We start from the raw sequence: 21,593 nt of genomic DNA, 5'->3' as shown, positions 1-21,593 counted from the left end.
GGGAGGTTGAGGCAATCAAATCGCTTGAGCCCAGGAATTCAAGACCACCCTGGGCAACATGGTGAGAACACTACCTCTATAAATACAAAAGAAAAAAATTAGCCAGGCACAGTTGCATGCACCTGTAGTCCCAACTACTTATGAGACTGATGTGAGAGGATCTCTTTAGATCAGAACTTTGTGGCTGTAGTGAGCCATGATTGTACCACTGCACTACAGCCTGGGTAATAAAGCAAGACTCTATCTCTAAATTAAAATAAATAAATAAAAATATTTTCACACATTGGTTCTTATCATCAAAGCATATGTTCTTAACTAATCTGAGTTTCTTTCCAAAACCTTCATTCCTACAGAAGGAATGGCTATATAATCTCTCCCTTAACATTAAAAAATAGTACTATTATGTGTTTTCTAGAGATGCAATTCACATTTGAGAACCATTTTTAAGAGCTTTGCTGATGCCAAAGAAATGAAGAAAAATATCTTAGAACCCAGGAATAAATATCTTTGATAATTTACCTTGTATGGCTTGCCATTGACAATGGCAGATAAAGCTGATCGGGGGATCTTGCCAGATCTGGTTTTGGGTAGCTGTTTGACAAACACTGCATTTCGAAAAGCAGCCACAGGGCCAATGTTCTGTCTAACGTGTTTCACAATTTCTTCCAAAACTTGCTCCTCTGTTGCATTTATATCTAGAGAGAAAGTTCAGATGGTAAGCACTGAATTAACCTTAGTTAATTATTCAGGTCCCAAGCAATCAGGGAGAAAAAGATCTCTCACCTTTTCTCAATACACAGAGTGCTAAGGGGACATGACCTTTTAAGGGATCTTCCTTGCCAACAACAGCACAGTCTGCCACGGTACCATGGGAAAGGATTGACTGTAATAAGGAAAGGCATTCATTTAGAATACATTTATTTACCATATATGTATATTCAACATATAGATATAGATACAGATATAGATATACAAACACATATAATTTCAGTTGGGGAAAAAAGTGCATGTAAGACAAGCCAAAAATCCATGGCTGCCTATTGAAAATTCATAAGTAATTTACATCATTACTAGTGAAGTGAATGCTTAGAATCCCCATGGTAGTCACTAAAGGTTGACAGTAATTAAGATAAATTGCTCAGCTAACCTGGAAAGTAAGGAAATGGTTTCTTTGTCTCAGTTTATTAATGAAGTCAGAGAAAATGTGTAGTGGATACTGTATGTAAACAAACCTCTGTAAACAGGCAGCCTCATGGCGATTTGGTCTTAATGCTGGCTGCCATAGGCATACCTTCCAGAGGAATCCGAGGCTGCCCTATGGCTAAATAATAACTTTATTTCTGAGTCTGTTAGTGAACAATGAAATTCCTCTAGTGGCCACCCACCCAGAGATGATTTTCCAGGACTTGCAAGAGGCTGGATATGGAGAGAAGCCCTGACATCAGATAATCCCCACTGTTGAAGAACTATATTCATACTGCTTGCTTTAAGTTCACAAAGCTGGTATCTATCTGAAATCAAAAAAACCCACAGAGTTGAGTAACCACATAAAATACAGACGCTTAGGGTTAATATATATATATATATGGTGACGGGACTTTTAAAAATGCATATTCAAAATTTTTTTTCTGAAAGATTAACATTTATTTTGGTGACCCCAATAATCATTATTTCAGTGACTCTCTAGCTCTAATAGCTAGAGAAAACAGTGAGCAAACTTTTAACCAACAGCACATCTGGCAGTCCTTGTTCTTTCTTCTATTCATTCATTCAATGAATATTTGCTAAATGACTCCTGTGTTGCAAACATTCGCTGGGTTCAGGGGTGATCAAAAATAGCGTATTGCTTCAAGATGCTTTCAGTCTAGTAGTGGAGACAGATATTAATAAATAATTATGAATATCTATTCTAAATGTCTAAATACAAAAGTGATAAGGGCTCTGGGGAATTTTTTTTATATGAAAGATACAGCAAAAGCAACCAATTTTGCAGAAAGATATGGGCCTCAAAAACTTTTTCTTTAGGAAATAACAATGAGTAGATCTGAAGGATGAGTAGATATTTATTAGGCAAGGAGAAGGGGTTGGGGCAAAAACCCTGGGGAAGGACTTCATAGGCACCATTCATACCTCAAAGAGACCAATGTGGCTGGAAAGCAGAGAACAAAAAGAGTGAGAATGGAGGAGATGGAGTTACAGAGGTGGATAGGTATTGTGCTAGGAACTTCCAACTCATTTTAGCATTCCTGGGAAGGTGATAAATCATTTTCAGTAGTTGAGAAGGAGATGCAAGATCAGAGCAGATTTAATATCGGGTTTTTATGTTTGTTTGTATGTTTATTTGTTTGAGACAAGATCTCACTCTGCCACCTAAGCTGGAGTGCGCTGGCATGTTCATAGATCACTGCAACCTCAATCTCCCAGGCTCAGGTGATCCTCCAACCTCAGCCTCTTCAACAGCTGGTTCTACAGGTGCACACCACCATGGCTGGCTAAATTTTTGTATTTTTTTTTTTTTTTTGTAGAGATGGGGTTTCGCCATGTTCCCTAGGCTGGTCTCAAACTCCTGGGCTCAAGCAATCTACCTGCTTCGGCCTCCCAAAGTGCTGGGATTACAGGCATAAGCTACCACGCCCAGCTATGTTTATTTTTTAAAGTAGTTTTAGATTCATAGCAATATCAACTAAGAAAGTAGGATTCTCATATACATCTTACCACTACATATACATAGCCTCCCCCATTATCAAAAGTTTGTACCAGAGCAATACATTTGTTGTAACTGATGAACCAAAATTGGCATACAATTATCATCCTAGTTCATAGTTTACATTACTACATTATGGTCTACTCTGTACATGCCTGAGTTTTGTCAAATGTATAAGACAGGTATCCACCATTATAGTATCACGCAGAATAGTTTTACTGACCCAAATACTCCCTGTGCTCTGCTCATTCATCCCTTCCCTTTCCCCTAACCCTTGGCAACCATGGATCTTTATATTGTCTTCAAGGTCCTTTTCCAGAATGTTATAATTGGAATCACTCAGTATGTAGCCTTTTCAGATTAGCTTCTTTCACTTCAGAGTGGATTCTGAAAAGCACAGACTTATTTTAGTTTCATCGTGGAAAATAAATAAAGAATTGTTGAGAGTGGGTGACACAGCTTATATAGGAAAACCACCTGAAAGGATACTACAGTAGGTTAAGGTCGTGATAGTAAGAATAAAAAGATGTGGTGAGATCAGAGAGACAACTTTTACTGCCAGATATATGTTTTAGTACTTACTGTAGTCAGTCATTAGTCATGAAAAATAATACTTTGCTGTACCAGATAGGATATAGACTTGGAAAGTTAGATGCTATGAATTCTGACTTGGTATTCCCTTAATGAGTGAAGAACATCTCTTTTTCTTGGCTAACCAGAGTTTTAATCGTCAAAAATTATTAGTGTTTATTGGTGCCATGACTCTCTGTACCTGAGTTCCTAAAATGCCAAGGTATCTGTTCAAATCACTGTTAAAAAATAAATCACCCACATATTTTGTCACCTAACCAATATGACTAGAGTTTTAACTAAATTTAATGTCAAAACATCTAGTCTGCCACTCTTTCACTTTGTTATTTTAAATTTTACTAAGTTTTTGTCCTTAGTCTTAGTGCTTTTAGAAGCGGATGGGAAAATGTTGATTGTTTTTCTATAAAAGCAAGGAGTATTTTAAAATCGGAAGAAATATACAACATTTCCTATAATATAATATTACAGTTTCCCATTTTTGCCTACTGCAGATAAATTCTTAAAAATTATGAGACGCAAAATCATTTTCAAGAATTATGTGTCATATCTGAGTGAAATCAAATATTATTCATCTATCAGTTTTTAAAATGCCATAAAGGAAGGGTGGTAGCTTTTTATGTTGGCCCCATAAATATTATTTGCATGCCAAGTGATGATTTCAACAACTGAATCATTAAAAGGGAAAGCGTTGAAATATGTCTTGGCAACATTCAAGGGACAGAAGCCAACCAAATGTCCTATGGGGGGAAAAATATCAAAAACCACATTAATGCATTCCCTCCAAATAAAATCTACGAAGCATCTGTGATTAACTGGCATTTAAGTACCTAAAAAAGTCATGGAACTTAAAAGGCAATAGTCTCACCACAATTGAGTATATAAATGTTATGAGATTAGGACTAGTAAATTCCTGTCATCTGTTGTTTCTTAGGTATTGCCAATTTTGCATAGATTTTAATGAATTTAAAATATTTTAAGATTTCACTGAGCTGACCTACACAGGTTTTTCAATTACATTTTTAAGAATCTTAATTTAAAAAATCAGTTCAAATCAAACACCCTCATAAGATGGGAGGAGCCAGTTTGCAGTGCAATATTGTCTATGCAATGGTTCGAAGAAGACAGATTTTTAAAAATTTCCTCTGACACTGAAGTAATCTAGGAAACTTGTCAGAGAGATTCCAGATACTCATCAATATTCATGTGAATACTCAGGAACTATTCAGCAATGTTGCAACTACTTAAATCCAATAGTCATTTAATGCTTGGTAGAATTGAAATGGCAAGGCATCTTAGCTGGATACACAGTCACTTTATGGAAATATATTCAATGTTGAAGAATCATTCCTAAAATAGCAAACAAAATAGCTACCTTGGAAAACAAATAGTGACACTTTGGTTAGAACAACCCTCAAAAAGGCAAAAGGCATGTGAACCGTGTCCTGAGTAGGCTTTAAAGACAGTATGTTAACACCAGATTTCCAAGTTCCCACAAATATTAGTGGGATTATTTAAGAAACCTACACTTAAGCTACAAGTGAAAGAGTGAAATTAGAGAGCCCAATTTGTTTCCTGTACATTTCTTTGTATGAAAACGCCTGAAGGTTTCTTCACATGAAAAGCCACAGCAGTCAAAGAGAACTGAGCAAGAACAATCATATTAGCTTCTGCAAATTTTAGCTTACAAGTGCAGAACTAGCAGATTTTAGACACAATTTTTCTAAGAACTCCTTAACCTCCATCAAAGTTTCCTAAATGTCTAGCTCAATGCTGGGCTTTCAAAAACTAATCAACACTTTAAAAATAGACTTGATTATTACTTAATAGTTAAAGAAGGCCCTCATTTTTACTTGGATCTGCAAGGATACTGTCCTCTTAAATTGATAAAAAGCTATTCTAGAGCTCCATTTTCTTATGATGAGAACAGAAAAGAAAATAGAGTTCCCTGAAATATTTTTGGTGTAATAATTTTAATAGAATATCTGCTTGATTTAGGTAATATAAATTTTACGGTTTTTTTGTACTCGAAATTCTTTTTATAAATTTATTGGTACAAATATTTGTACATATTTATAGGGTACATGTGATATTTTGTTACATGCATAGAGTGTGTAATGATCAATTCAGGGTACTTAAGGTATCCATCACTTCGAGTATTTATCATTTCTGTGTGTTGAAAACGTTCCAAGTCCTAATTTCTAGCTATTTTGAACTATACATTGTTATTAACTATAGACACTCTACTTTGCTACTGAATATTAGAACTTATTCCTTCTATCTAACTGTTTATTTGTACCCATTAACCGATCTCTTTTCATGTCCTTTCACCACTTGACACACACATACCCTTCTCAGCCTCTGGTATCATTCTACTCTCTGTTTCTGTAAGATAAACTATCCCAGATCCCATATATGAATGAGGATAGATATTGTCTTTCTGTGCCTGGATCCTTTCACTTAACATAATGAAATCCAGTTCCATCCAAATAGCTGCAAATGGCAGGATTTTATTATTTCTTTATGGCCAAGTATTATTCTATTATGCACATTTACCATATTTTATTTCTTCATTCATCTGTTGATGATCGCTTAGGTTGATTCTATATCTTTGCTACTTGAGCACTGCTGCAACAAACATGGGGGTAAATGTAGCCCTTTGACATACTAATTTATTTTCCTTTGGATAAATACCCAGTAGTGGGATTGCAAGACCTTATGGTAGTTCTACTTTTAGTTTTTCGAAAAATCTCCATGCTATTTTCCATAACGGCTGTACTAATTTACATTCCTACTAACCGTGTATGAGTTCCCTTTTCTCTACATCCTTGCAAGCATGAATGACTTTCTAACAATAACTTACACACTTTTTTGTCTTTCTAATAATTACTCATAAAATGTTTACTTAGGGAAACTGGAAAAGTGTAGATATTTTTACTGTACTTAAAAACAATATTCAGTCTATTTTTTTCTACAAATAAAACTTTCATTGGATTAAGACCTCAATTCCTATTCCAAAAAGTTAAAGTGGAATATGGTATTCACCACTGGCAACCCTTGTCAAGTAGTTAAATAGTAAGGTTTGGGCACTTTAATAAGAGCTGGATACATCATCAAACATTTCAGAAGGAAATAATCAATTTGCTAAGCAATATTGCTAGGAGCTAGTAAAAAGTCAGTATAAAGTATCAGTTCACAATTCTCTAAGAGATTTCAAAGACAGAGAAGACAAATCTGATTTAAACTGAGATAGAATTTTCTTATCAAATATAAATACTTAATAAAAACTTAGTCATTTAATTCATATATAGAGAGAAGTTAACTTAAAGATTTAAGGTCTGAATGGTTTCCTGTTATGCACCCTAAATACTCCAAGACCCAGTGACAAAGTTTCTGTTAGATGCCAATAATTCTAGCATGTTTTTCTCTTTTTCCATTTTAACTGCCTATTTTCTGCCTATCTCATTCTGCTGTTACATACAGTGAGAAGGATTTCAGTAGAAGCATTAAAACACAACATATCTTTGAATAGGTTGATACTCCTCTTTTCATTCTAAAAACAAAAAAAGACTAAGGTTTTTGACTAATAATAATAACTATGCATACAAAATTTTCATATTTTGATTGACTGAGTCTGCCGGAAATGCAGGTGAATATTGGAAGTAATCTCTTAGAAGGAGGAAATTAAAAGTTCATGCAACCAGAACCATCTTTTGCCAACACACCAAAAGACATGAAGTAAAAATTTCAATTTCAGGTTATCACAAAATTTAGAGTCGTTTAAAAACAAGATAATATTATAATAGCACACAAAGGTGAAATGTTCTAAAATATAAAGTTCCTTCCTTTTACTCAAAAAAAATCACATTTAAGAAACACATCCCAACATGACAAGAAGTATTAAGCTGTTAAGTTTGAACTGAAGATAGGTACAAACTTTTTTAATTTTTAATTTTTTTAACTTTTAGATTCGGGGGTACATAAGCACGTTTGCTATAGAAATAAACTCATGTCACAGGAGTCTGTTGTACAGATTATTTCATCACCCAGGTACTAAGCCTAGTACCCAATAGCTATTTTTTCTGATCCTCTTTTAATTAGAGAAAGAGGAAATAAAACTTTGACTCTGCATACTCTGATCACAGTGAATTGTTAATCATGTTACTTTAAACATTTTCTTTCATTCAAATTGTAGTTTGTTTGCTCCATTCAGTTTAAAAACTATTCTGGGGTTTGCTTCTAGAAAAAAATGAAGTAACTTATATCTTCCACAATAACAATGAAAAACTCTGGGCTAAAATATATATTGGTAGACTCAGTCAGAACATAAGAACTTGAAATACAACTTGGTGATGAGTTCACTGTCATTTGGAAGTTTGGGGATTTTGTTATTTTTGTTCATTTGTTTGCTTTACTTTCTGTATAATCTGGCCCGAGGACTAAAGCAGCTCAGCATGTGTAACTGACAATGAGTACAGACAGAAAAAGCCCTAAGAGCCTGCTGTGTCTGGTCAGAGGCCCAGGAAAACAAGTAGGGGAGTCATAAAACAGGTTTTGTCCTCCCTACTTCAGATAAGTGACAACGAAGAAGCAGGGCCCACCCCTCTCTCTACAGAGCTGCAGAAAATTTGTTACCTCTCCACACCTTACACCAAGTAAATGTCAGCAATTAAGGTGTGCCCCTTCCCTTCTCCACACTAGCTGTACAACACATCCTACAGGAGGGAGCCCTGGGTACTCTCCTACCCTAAACCAAGAGAACCCAGAAAGGATCAGTGCCACTTGCTCTCTGCAGCAGCAGCCATGCTGCTCCTGAGAGTGGGTCGCTGTTGACTTACCCTGGCATGTGTTAGGCAACTGCCAGCAAAGAGACAAGACCCCTTCCTCTCCCCAGAGGCACTGTTCCTGTAGACGTTGCAGGAATAATCCTGGTAACTGTGGGGAGACAAAGCCCTGACTCATTACCCATAAGAACAGCAAAGGAGAGTTTTGTGAACCAAAGAGGGAAAAGGGACCTCTGGTTTTGGTACTACAAGTAAGAAGCTTCGAATTCACCACTCCATTCTAACAAGTAGAAAGTTAAACAAACTGAAAAAAAATAAAAAACAATAACAGAAACAATTCTTCTTAGATTTGTCAGAGAGGAAGTTCACAGGGAAAACCACTCCCCCAAAACTGTAGAGGCAGACAAGTAAATAGAGAAAAACACAATTTATTGGAGCAGAAACCTCTACAGGAACAAGTGCCAAGGTTGTAAAACCCGAGCTGTATGACAAAACACTGTGTTCCTTTTTCCAGGGCCTACCCTTAAAAGAAACTATTCTGTAACAGAACCTAACTGCTGGAGTTTTCTCAGAGCCTAACTGACATAGGAGAAAGGAAATATCCAATTCCAGCCCCCTTTATTCAACCTATTTTTTGTTTGTTTGTTTTTTTGAGACAGAGTCTCACTCTGTCACCCAGGCTGCAGTGCAGTGGCGCGATCTCAGCTCACTGCAAGCTCCGCCTTGCGGGTTCACGCCATTCTCCTGCCTCAGCCTCCCGAGTAGTTGGGACTACAGTCGCCCACCACCACGCCTGGCTAATTTTTTGTATTTTTTAGTAGAGACGGGGTTTCACTGTGTTAGCCAGGATGGTCTCGATCTCCTGACCTCGTGATCCACCCATCTCGGCCTCCCATAGTGCTGGGATTACAGGCGTGAGCCACCGCGCCAGCCCTCATCCTATTTTAAGAGGGGAAAAATCTACAAAGAACTGATGAAGTTCACAGTCCAAGGATACATGTTCATGAAACAACTAAGATTTAATCATAGGAGTACAGAATACTTCTCCTCCCCCTGCATCTTACCAATACACCAGCAAAGGCCTACTTACTGAAGTTCTTTTTACACAGTACATCATGTCAGTATTTCAACAGGCAATTACAAGGCATACTAAAAGGTAAAATAAATAACAAACCACACAAATACACACACACACACACACACACACAGTTTGAATAGACTGAAGAAGCATTAGAAACAGAGTTTCATATGACAGGAATATTGGAATTATCTGAACATGATATTTTTTAAAACTACGATTAATATGTTAAGGGCATTAATGGAAAAAGTAGACAACTTGCAATAATAGATGATTAATGTAAGCTGAGCAGAGAGATTAAAATTCTAAGAAAGAATTTTTAAAATGCTACAAAGCAATATCACTGTATCAAAAATAAAGAATGTCTCTGATGGACTTATTTGTAAACTAGATGTAGGTGAAAGAAGAATCTTGGTGCTTGAGGATGTATCAATAGAAACCTCCAAAACCAAAAATCAAAGAGAAAAAAGATGGAAAAGAAATCTCCAAACAGAACAAAATATCCAAGAACTTCAAAACAAATAGAAAAGCTGTAACAAACACATAATAGCGGTAATGAGAGGAAAAGAAAGAAATGGAAGCAATATATGAAGAAATAATGACTGAGAGTTTCCCCCAAATTAATGCTGACACAAAATCATAGATCCAGGAATTGCAGAAAACATCAAGCAAGATAAATGTAAAAAAAAAAATCCTACATGTAGGCATATCATACTCAAATTTCAAACAATCTAAGATAAAGAAAAAAATTCTAGAGAAAGCCAGAGTGGAGGGAGAAACACCTTACCTATAGAGAAGCAAAGATAAGAATCACATGTGACTTATCCTTAGGAACCATGTAAACAAGAAGAGAGTGGAGCGAAATATTTAAAGTGTCAAGAGGGAAAAAAGCACCATTAATTCTAGAATTACAGAATTCCAGATTGCTATATTGTGGAAAATTATCCTTCAAAAATTAAGGAGAAATAAAGACTTTTTTAGACAAAAGAAAAAAATTGAGGTAATGTGTTGCCCGTAGACCTGCTTTGCAAGAAATGTTAAGTTATTTGGAGACATGGAAAATAATATACGTCAGAAATTTGTATAAATAAAAATAAAGGAAGAGCATCAGAAATGAATAAACAAATGTAAAATAAAAAAATTATTTTTCTTGTTCTCAATTTACCTCACAGATAAGTTTGTTCAAAATAATAATAGCAACAATGTGTGTATATGCGCATGTGTATATGCTAATGTGCTAGCAAGTGAATGACAGCAGTGATACAAGAGCTACAAGGGAGGAATTAGAAATATTTTGCTATTTGTCAAAGATCAGATAGTTGTAGATATGTGGCGTTATTTCTGAGGGCTCTGTTCTGTTCCATTCATCTATATCTCTGTTTTGGTACCAGTACCATGCTGTTTTGGTTACTGTAGCCTTGTAGTATAGTTTGAAGTCAGGTAGCGTGATGCCTCCAGCTTTGTTCTTCTGGCTTAGGATTGACTTGACGATGCAGGCTCTTTTTTGGTTCCATATGAACTTTAAAGTAGTTTTTTCCAATTCTGTGAAGAAAGTCATTGGTAGCTTGATGGGGATGGCATTGAATCTACAAATTACCTTGGGCAGTATGGCCATTTTCACGATATTGATTCTTCCTACCCATGAGCGTGGAATGTTCTTGCATTTCTTTGTATCCTCTTTTATTTCATTGAGCAGTGGTTTGTAGTTCTCCTTGAAGAGGTCCTTCACGTCCGTTGTAAGCTGGATTCTTAGGTATTTTATTCTCTTTGAAGCAATTGTGAATGGGAGTTCACTCATGATTTGGCTCTCTGTTTGTCTGTTATTGGTGTATAAGAATGCCTGTGATTTTTGTACATTGATTTTGTATCCTGAGACTTTGCTGAAGTTGCTTATCAGCTTAAGGAGATTTTGGCCTGAGACAATGGGGTTTTCTAGATATACAATCATGTCATCTGCAAACAGGGACAATTTGACTTCCTCTTTTCCTAATTGAATACCCTTTATTTCCTTCTCTTGCCTAATTGCCCTAGCCAGAACTTCCAACACTATGTTGAATAGGAGTGGTGAGACAGGGCATCCCTGTCTTGTGCCAGTTTGCAAAGGGAATGCTTCCAGTTTTTGCCCATTCAGTATTATATTGGCTGTGGGTTTGTCATAGGTAGCTCTTATTATTTTGAGATACATCCCATCAATATCTAATTTATTGAGAGGTTTTAGCATGAAGGGTTGTTGAATTTTGTTGAAGGCCTTTTCTGCATCTATTGAGATAATCATGTGGTTTTTGTCTTTGGTTCTGTTTATATGCTGGATTACATTTATTGATTTGTGTATATTGAACCAGCCTTGCATCCCAGGGATGAAGCCCACTTGATCATGGTGGATAAACTTTTTGATGTGCTGCTGGATTCAGTTTGCCAGTATTTTATTGAGGATTTTTGCATCAATGTTCATCAATGATATTGGTCTAAAATTCTCTTTTTTGGTTGTGTCTCTGCCCAGCTTTGGTATCAGGATGATGCTGGCCTCATAAAATGAGTTAGGGAGGATTCCCTCTTTTTCTATTGATTGGAATAGTTTCAGAAGGAATGGTACCAGTTCCTCCTTGTACCTCTGGTAGAATTTGGCTGTGAATCCATCTGGTCCTGGACTCTTTTTGGTTGGTAAGCTATTGATTATTGCCACAATTTCAGCTCCTGTTATTGGTCTATTCAGAGATTCAACTTCTTCCTGGTTTGGTCTTGCGAGAGTGTATGTGTCGAGGAATTTATCCATTTCTTCTAGATTTTCTAGTTTATTTGCGTAGAGGTGTTTGTAGTATTCTCTGATGGTAGTTTGTATTTCTGTGGGATCAGTGGTGATATCCCCTTTATCATTTTTTATTGCATCTACAACTATCTGATCTTTGACAAACCTGAGGAAAAACAAGCAATGGGGAAAGGATTCCCTATTTAATAAATGGTGCTGGGAAAACTGGCTAGCCATATGTAGAAAGCTGAAACTGGATCCCTTCCTTACACCTTATATGAAAATCAATTCAAGATGGATTAAAGACTTAAACGTTAGACCTAAAACCATAAAAACCCTAGAAGAAAACCTAGGCATTACCATTCAGGACATAGGCACGGGCAAGAACTTCATGTCTAAAACACCAAAAGTAATGGCAACAAAAGCCAGAATTGACAAATGGGATCTAATTAAACTAAAGAGCTTCTGCACAGCAAAAGAAACTACCATCAGAGTGAACAGGCAACCCACAAAATGGGAGAAAATTTTCGCAACCTACTCATCTGACAAAGGGCTAATATCCAGAATCTACAATGAACTCAAACAAATTTACAAGAAAAAAACAAACAACCCCATCAAAAAGTGGGTGAAGCATATGAACAGACACTTCTCAAAAGAAGACATTTATGCAGCCAAAAAACACATGAAAAAGTGCTCACCATCACTGGCCATCAGAGAAATGCAAATCAAAACCACAATGAGATATCATCTCATACCAGTTAGAATGGCGATCACTAAAAAGTCAGGAAACAACAGGTACTGGAGAGGATGTGGAGAAATAGGAACACTTTTACACTGTTGATGGGACTGTAAACTAGTTCAACCATTGTGGAAGTCAGTGTGGCAATTCCTCAGGGATCTAGAACTAGAAATACCATTTGACCCAGCCATCCCATTACTGGGTATATACCCAAAGGACTATAAATCATGCTGCTATAAAGACACATGCACATGTATGTTTACTGCAGCACTATTCACAATAGCAAAGACTTGGAACCAACCCAAATGTCCAATAATGATAGACTGGATTAAGAAAATGTGGCACACATATACCATGGAATACTATGCAGCCATAAAAAATGATGAGTTCATGTCCTTTGTACAGACATGGATGAAATTGGAAATCATCATTCTCAGTAAACTATCGCAAGAACAAAAAACCAAACACCACATATTCTCACTCATAGGTGGGAATTGAACAATGAGAACACATGGATGCAGGAAGGGGAACATCACACATGGGGACTGTTGTGGGGTGGGGGGAGGGGGGAGGGATAGCATTGGGAGATATACCTAATATTAGATGATGAATTAGTGGGTGCAGTGCACCAGCATGTCACATGTATACATATGTAACTAACCTGCACATGGTGCACATGTACCCTAAAACTTAAAGTATAATAAAAAAAAAGAAATATTTTGCTATCATAAGGTATTTGCTCTGCCCATGAAGTAATATGTATTATTTGAGTCTGGATTTGGTTAGTTGTAAACATATATTGCAAACATTAGGGCAACCACCACAACAAGTTAAAAGAAGTATATTTAATATGTTAAGAAAGGAGAGCAAAATGAAATAATATAAAATGTTCAATTATAACCACAAAATGCAGAGAAAGAAAGACAGAAATAGAAACAAAGAGTAAGGGCAACAAATAGAAAACTGTAACAAATCTGGTAAATGTTAATTCAGTTATATTAATGATCACTTAATATCAATGATCTAAATATACCAATTAAAAGGCAGAATGTCAGAGAGTAGATCAAAAACAAGACTCAATTATATGTTTTCTGAAAGAAACCCATTTTAAATATAACAATACATATAGATTAAAAGTAAAGGGATGGAGAAAGTTATACCATGCTAATTTTTATAAGTAGGAGTAGTTATGTTAATTTCAAGCACAGAAGACTTCAGAGCAAGAAAATGTATCAAGAATAAAGAGGAGCATTACATAATGATAAAGAGGTCAATAACCCGAGAAGGCATGATGATCCTTAGGGCATCAAAGTATGTCAGGCAAAACTGATAGAATTGGGAGGAGAAACAGATGAATCAACTATTATAGTTCAAGACTTTAACACTCCTGTGTTGGAAATTTACAGATCCACTGGGCACACAATCAGTAAGGACATAGTTCAGTTCAACAGTACCATCAATCAACTGAATAAAATTGACATCAATAGGCCACTTCATTCAACAACTAATAATTAAGAATAAGAAAAAAAAGTCCACACTCAAATAACACTTCATAGACAAAGCAAGTACCTTATAATAACAAAAATTCCTAATTCCTCCCTTCTAGCCCTTGTATCACTGCTGTCATTTATTTTGCTTATACATAAGCATATATATATGTATGTGCATATATGCACACATATTGTTGCTGTTATTAGTATGAACAAACTGTTATTTTTGAGATAAATTGAGAACAAGAAAATTAAAATGTTTTATTTTACTTTCTGATACGGTTTGGCTGTGTACCCATCCAAATCTCATCTTGAATTGTGGCTTCCATAATTCCCATGTGTCATGGGAGGGACCTGGTGGGAGGTAACTGAATCATGGGGGTGAATCTTTTCTGTGTTGTTCTCATGATAGTGAATAAGTATCACAAGATCTGATGGTTTTATAAAGAGAGTTCCCCTGCACACTCCCTCTTGCCTGCCGCCATGTAAGACATGACTTTGCTCTTCATTCTCCTTCTGCCATGATTGTGAGGCCTCCCCAGCCATATGGGATTATGAGTCAATTAAACCTCTTTCCTTTATAAATTACCCAGTCTCAGGTATGTCTTTACTAGCAGTGTGAGAACAGACTAATACACCTTCATTTATTCATTTCTGATGTTCTTCCTTTATTTTTGTTGAACTAAATATCTGATTTATGTTTTTTCCTTGTCTCTGAATGAAATTGTTGAATGAAGATTACACATTTTTTTCAAACTTAAATGGAACAGTCACCAAGACAGACTACATTTTGGGCCATAAAACACACCTTAAAATTTTAAAAAGAATATAAATCATACAACATCTGTTCTGAGGTAATAATGGAATTAAACTAGCAATCAATAACAGAAAGATAGGTGTAAAATCACAAATTATTGGAGATTAAACAACACACTTCTAAATAACACATGAGTCAAAGAAGATATTTCAAGAAAAATTTAAACATATTTTAACTAAATGAAAATTATAATATAACATCAATATTTATGGGATGCAGCAACAGCATGCTCACAGGAAAATTTATAGCACTGAATTCACATATTAGAAAAGAAGAGAGATCTAAAATCAATTATGTAAACTTTCACCTTAGGAAACTAGAAAATGGAAGACCAAATTAAATTCAAAGTAAGCAGAATAAAATAAATTATAAAAATTAGAGGAGAAATAAATTAAATCAAAAATAAATCAATAGAAAATACCATAAAACCAAAAGCTATTCCTTTAAAATATCAATAAAATCAATAAACCTCTAGCCAGGCTAAGGAAAAAAAAAGGAAGAGACAAATTACTAAAACCAGAAATGAAAGAGGACATATTACTACAGATCATGGACATTAAAAAGATAATAAGGAATATTATGAATAAGTCTATGCCCACCAATTTGATTACCTAGACAAAATAAACTAATTTCTTGAAAGACACAATCTGACAAAAGTTACACAGGAAGAAATTGACAATCTGAATAGGCCTATATTTATTAAAAATTAGATCAACAATTAATAAACTTCCAAAACTGAAAGTACCAGGTGAAGATAGGTTCGTTGGTGAATTCTACCAATTCATCAGTTAATTCTACCATTTAAGGAATAAATTAGACCAATTATCTACAATCTGTCGTTCCAATGACAGAAGTCATGGGAATATTTTCTAACTCAATCTATGGAACTGGAACAATGCTGGCCCCATAGAATAAGTTAGAAAATATTCCCATTGTATTAATACTAAAATAAGACAATTAAAAAAAACTATTGACAGAGGCCATCATGAGCATAGATGCCAATGTGTGGAAAGAGTTATGTACCATGACCAGGTGGAATTTACCCCAGGTATACAAAGCTGGTTCGAAATTCAATAATCAAAGTAATCCATCGCATCAATAGGCTGAAGAAGAAAAATTACATGATCATATCAGTACATGCAGAAAAAGTAAAACATTTGACAAAATCCAATACCCATTCATGATAAAAATATTAAGTATACTACGAATAGAGGGGAACTTCCACAATTTCGTGATGAACCATCTACAAACAAACCTAGAGCTTACATCATACTCAATGGTGAGAAATTCAAAACTTTCCCACTAAGATCTGGAACAAGGCAAGGATGTCCACCCTCAACTATATTTTCAACATCATACTGGCTAGTGCAACAAGGCAAGAAAGACAACACTGAACTAGGTAGTGCAATAAGACAAGAAAGGAATATAAAAGGTATACAGACTGAGAAAGAAGATATAAAACTGTATTTGTTTGCAAACAACCTGATCGTATATATGTAGAATATCCAAATAGACAAAAGCTTTGAAAATCAAATTAACATTGAAACCACAGTCCACAGAAAGTGGGTAAAGCTATGTAGTCTGATCCTAACTGGGCTGACCACTTCCTAAAATAAATAGCCACAAGAACAGAAATGCAGAAGATTTAAATAGGATCCAGAACCTCATGATGTAATATTCAAAATACTCGGGATAAGATTTAAAATAGACATTTATCAGGAAAATCTAAACATCTTTTAAGAAAAAAAGACAATCCCTAGATACCAAACCCAACATTACCTAAATATCAGAATTATCAGAAAATTTAACTTAAATATTATAACTATGGAGAAATAAACCTCTAAATTTACCAGTGCTCCTATAAAAGCCCTAGCCTCCTGAGACTCTTGAAACATCTGAAAAATTAGACCTATAGTGATTTGCCTAATGAATTGCTCAGATCTTAAAGGATAATAAAACTTTAATTTATCTGTCAAGGCCAAATGTGTATAGTCCAGACTAGATCCCTAGTATAAACTCCCAAGAAGCTGGGGAGATTGGCTCACTATCTTCTTGGGTATTTACCTGCTAAAAAGAGATTAATTCCCAGGAGTTAGAAACATTTCTATGTTGTAAAACTGGAGATGCACAGGGCGGTCTGGCTCCTGGGGCTATTTTACTTATATATTAAAGAATTAGAGTTTTGATTAAAGACATTATGTTTTTAAGAAGAGCCTTCAGGAAGGACGGCTGCCTCCCTCCCTTTTAAGTAGAGAAAAATCATTTTTTAAACTTTCATTTATGGAGAATCTGGCTACTCATGTAGGAAAAATTGCCATTAGCTTTCATTGGGTCATAATAAGACCTAGGGTAAGGTGGAAATGACACTCTTATAAAAAAAACTGTCAAAGATGAATATTAAAAACCAAGCAATAACCATGGCCCAAGAAGAATGTGCAAAAACTCTTGGTATGAATGGAATCATAGACGTTCTCACAAATTAATAAAAGCTACAAAAAAAGAACCAAAATAAGTTAAAAGAGAGAAGGGGGAGAATGAAATAAGAGAATGAAAAAGAGAAGAATCAAAAAGAATAATAATAAACTGGTAGGCAGATATATAACTATATCAATAATTAAATGTAAATTATCTGAAAACACTAAATGATGGAGATTGCCAGATTGGATAAACATAAAAACAAATAGATGCTGTCCATATGAACTAAGTAGGTGCTGTCTACAAGAAACCCACATGAAACATAATACAGATAGATTAAAAATGAAAAAATGAAAAAAGATCTATGATTCAAACATGATTCAAAGAAAAGAATGGCTATATGATTACTACAAACAGTAGATTTCAGAATAAGGAAAATTACTATTGATTAATAATAATAACAATAATTATTAATTATACGAATCAATGTATAAAAACAGTAATTCATTGCAATCACTTAAAGTTTGTCCCAGGAATGCACGACTGGTTCAAAAGCTGAAAATTATTTAATGTAATTCACGTAACATTGTTAAAAAGAAAAATCACATATTCCTATTAATAGAGGCAGAAAAAGCATTTGATAAAATTCAACATTCATTCATAATTAAAAATAACACTTCAGCAAATTAGAAATACAAAAACAATTATTCAGTTTGATAAAGTGTGTGTTTACAGAAATACCTACAGTTAGCACCATTCTTGCCTTTACCCTAAGATCAGGATCAAGACAAGGGTGTCTGCTCTTACCAGTCTTGTTCAACATCCTATCCCAAGTTCTAGCCAGTTCCAAAAGGCAAGAAAAAGACCAAAAAAAGCATTCAGATTGGAAAGGAGGTAATAAAACTGTTTTTATTCACATGTAACATAATTGTTTACACAGAAAGTCTCAACAAGTCTACCAAAAATACCGCTAGAGCTAGCAAGCAAGTTAAACAAGATCATAGGTTACATATCAGTCTGCAAAAAGATCAGTAGTATTTCTATCCACTAGCAATGAAAAATTTCAAACCAAAGTTTTTAAAAAATGTATAATAGCTAAAAAATTAAATACTTAAATATAAACTTAACAAAACTTGTTCAGAATCTGTATGCTAGAAAGTACAAAGTATTTAAGAAACATACCAAAGAAATCCTAAAGAAAGAAATATACAAAACTCATGGATTGAACTCAGTAAGTTTGAAATAGCAATTTTTCTCCAATCAATATATGGATTTAACACAATCTGAATCAAAATTTATGCATGGGTTCATTGTACCTATAGAAAATTTTATGCTAATATGTATGTGGAATACCTAAAGGAACTAGTATAGCTACAACAAGACTAAGAAAGAAGAGCAGATGTGGAGGACTCACAATATTCAACTCTAAGATACACTACATAGCTACAGTGTCAAGGCAGTATATTCATAAAAATATAATGTAGATCAATTATATTGATCTACATAAAAAAATCTATTAAATATTTTCCATGATCATCATAAAAAAAACATAGATCAATGAAATAGAAAGATATTCTAGAAACAGACCCACTCCAATATTATCATCTGATTTTTGACAAAGTTGCAATGGCAATTCAATAGAGAAAGGGCAGCTTTTTCAACAAATGATGCTGGAACAACTGGCATCCACTTAAAAAATTATTTATCAACCTACACCTTGCACTATATTAAAAAATTAACTCAAATTTAAATTTAAAATGATATAAATGTAAAACAATAAAACTGAATATAAAACATAAAACTATAAAACTCTTAGATGAAAACAAAAGAGAAAATCTTTGTGATGCTGAGTTAGGAAAGCATTTTTATATACAATACCAAAATCATAATCCGTAAAAGAAAAAAATGATAAATTAGAATTCATCAAAATGAAAAGTATTTTTTTCTCTGTTATGGACACTTTTAATAAAATAAAAAGATCAGTCAGAAACTAGAAAAAGAAATTGCAAACTGCATATCAGATAAAGGACTTGTATATAGAATATATAAAGAACTTACAAAACTGAACAATAAAAAAGAAACAGTCCAATTTAAAAAAATGGGCTGAAGATTTTAACAGATACCTCATCAAAAAAGGTATATGGATGGCAAATAAGCTTGTGAAAAGATGCTCAATATCACTAGTTATTACAGAAATGCAAATCACATGCACAATGAGATACTATTACACACCGAGTAGAATGGTTTAATAAAGAGTAATGACACGACCAAGTTCTAGAAAGAATGGGAAGAAGTATGAACCCTTAAATACTGCTGGTGGCTATGTAAAATAGCACAGTCACACGGGAAAACTCTTTGGTGGTTTCTCATAACCTTAAACATACACTTAATATACAACCCAGAAAACCCACTCTAAGTATTTATCCTAGAGAAATAAAATATTTTTTTACACAAACACCTGTATTTGAATGTGTATAACAGCCCTATTTATAATTGCTGCAAACTAGATATAACCCATATGTCCTTTAATGCATGAATGGATACGTAAACTTGTTAGTACAGCTGCACGATGAAATTCTATACAGCAACATAAAAAGGCAAATTCTTAATAAATGCAACAACTTGGAAGAATCTAAAATGTATTTTCCTAAATGAAATAACCCAGTCTCAAAGGTTACAATACTGTATCATCTATTTATATAAAATTGGAGAGAAGACTAAAACATAGGAACAAAGAAAAAAATAAGGGGTACCAGAGTCAGAATAGACAGGTGACATTATGATGGAATTATTTGACAGCGTTGAAATTGTTTTGTATCCTTTCTGTGGTGATGGTTACAAGAAACTGTATTAGTATAAATACTCATAGTATTGTATAACAATAATGTAGATTTTACTCCATAGGAATAAGTTTTTAAAACATTTTAAAAAACCTCTTCTGGAGACTTTATGTGACTTACATTGGAAGAAAATTCTCAGGATTTAAGAGTACAATAAAATGTTTAATCCCATACCACTTAAAGACCATGTGCAAACCTGATGATTAAACACGAGTAAATCAAGAAGCTAGAGGCATTCAAGTAGCAAGTATTAAGAAGCAAATGTACACAGGCTTTCCCATAAACAAAAAATATATGTAAGTGTTTAAAACTCTTCACTACCACCCAGGGATGTGGGAGTGTAGGGAATATGAATATCTAAAAGAGAAAGTGAGGTGGGAGAGATGTAAGAGTAACCTAGCCTCTGCTGCAAATGAAGGGTGTGGTAATTTTCCAAGTGAAATAACCTCAATATTGTCTTCAGTGCAGCTCTGTGCCTAAGCACTACTTGGAATAGAATACCAATATTCATCAATACCTCTTCAATGGCGCCTGCAGAAATTCTGTGACCTGCAACATTTATTACATCATCCACTCGAGACATAACATACAAATAGCCTTCTTCATCCATGTAACCAGCATCCATGGTATCATAATATCCCTGAAAACAAGAAAAAATAACATTTGATTAGCATGTACTGTTAACTAATGTAATCATTTTAAACTTGGTAAAACACACAATGTAATAGAAATGGATTTACTGTGAACATTTGCCGTTTTTCGTAACTAGACTAGGAAATTACACTACTTTTTATCTGGAAACTGTACTAGAATCTCTTTGCTCCTCTAACAGCCAAGAATAAGTTGAAGTGTTTTTAGAAATGTTTAAGTGTTTGAATATAGAGTTGTAAAGTTTATGAATCCAATTTCTTTTTTTAATGGAGAAGTAATAGCTCAATACTAATTCTAATATACTTTGATATTGCAAAATAATTCTTTGATACATTTCTTCTTTAATTGTATTAACTTTTAAAAGCTTTAAAGCTCCCAATGAATAATTTCCCAATACAGCAGTAGTTTATTAATATGGGTTAGGATTGGACTCAAGCTTCAGTGAAATTTAATAGTAAGTATGAAATTTAATTTTTAGTCACTCAAAGTAAAACATTTTTGCTGGTCTAGAAATGACAGTAGAATAAGAATAATAAGAATAAAAAGTAGAAAAAATAAATATTATTTTTCCTAATGCTTCTGAGTTATTTTGATACCTATGTTTATGAACATGGACTTCAGTACAAATCCTGGAAAGCCACTATTGTGTTTCTTAGACTTTCTGAGACTCAGTATTCTCATCTGTTAAATGGGAAAATGAGTTCTGCCTTCTAAAGCTTCTGTGAAGCATGCATGAAACAG

The 21,593-nt window shown here is 34.4% G+C and overlaps 1 protein-coding gene across 6 annotated transcripts in view; it reads right to left on the bottom strand.

The window, feature by feature from the left end:
* Positions 1-21,593, bottom strand: part of ACSS3 (acyl-CoA synthetase short chain family member 3) — a 183,340-nt gene that overhangs the window by 7,021 nt on the left and 154,726 nt on the right. For 4 of the 6 annotated variants that reach the window (XM_047429549.1, NM_001330243.2, NM_024560.4 and 1 more), the window contains 3 exons: positions 20,719-20,841; positions 784-883; positions 520-695 (listed from right to left, as the gene is read on the bottom strand). In XM_047429549.1, coding sequence (XP_047285505.1) covers positions 520-695; positions 784-883; positions 20,719-20,841 — 399 coding nt within the window. Of the gene's footprint in view, positions 1-519; positions 696-783; positions 884-1,385; positions 1,512-2,927; positions 20,842-21,593 lie in introns of those variants that run through there. The other 2 variants (XR_944720.4, XR_007063125.1) reach the window with 2 other exon arrangements.

The sequence above is a fragment of the Homo sapiens genome, chromosome 12 (assembly GCF_000001405.40).
Source record: "Homo sapiens chromosome 12, GRCh38.p14 Primary Assembly".
Lineage (NCBI taxonomy): Eukaryota > Metazoa > Chordata > Mammalia > Primates > Hominidae > Homo > Homo sapiens.
This window is presented reverse-complemented; position numbering and strand designations above follow the sequence as displayed.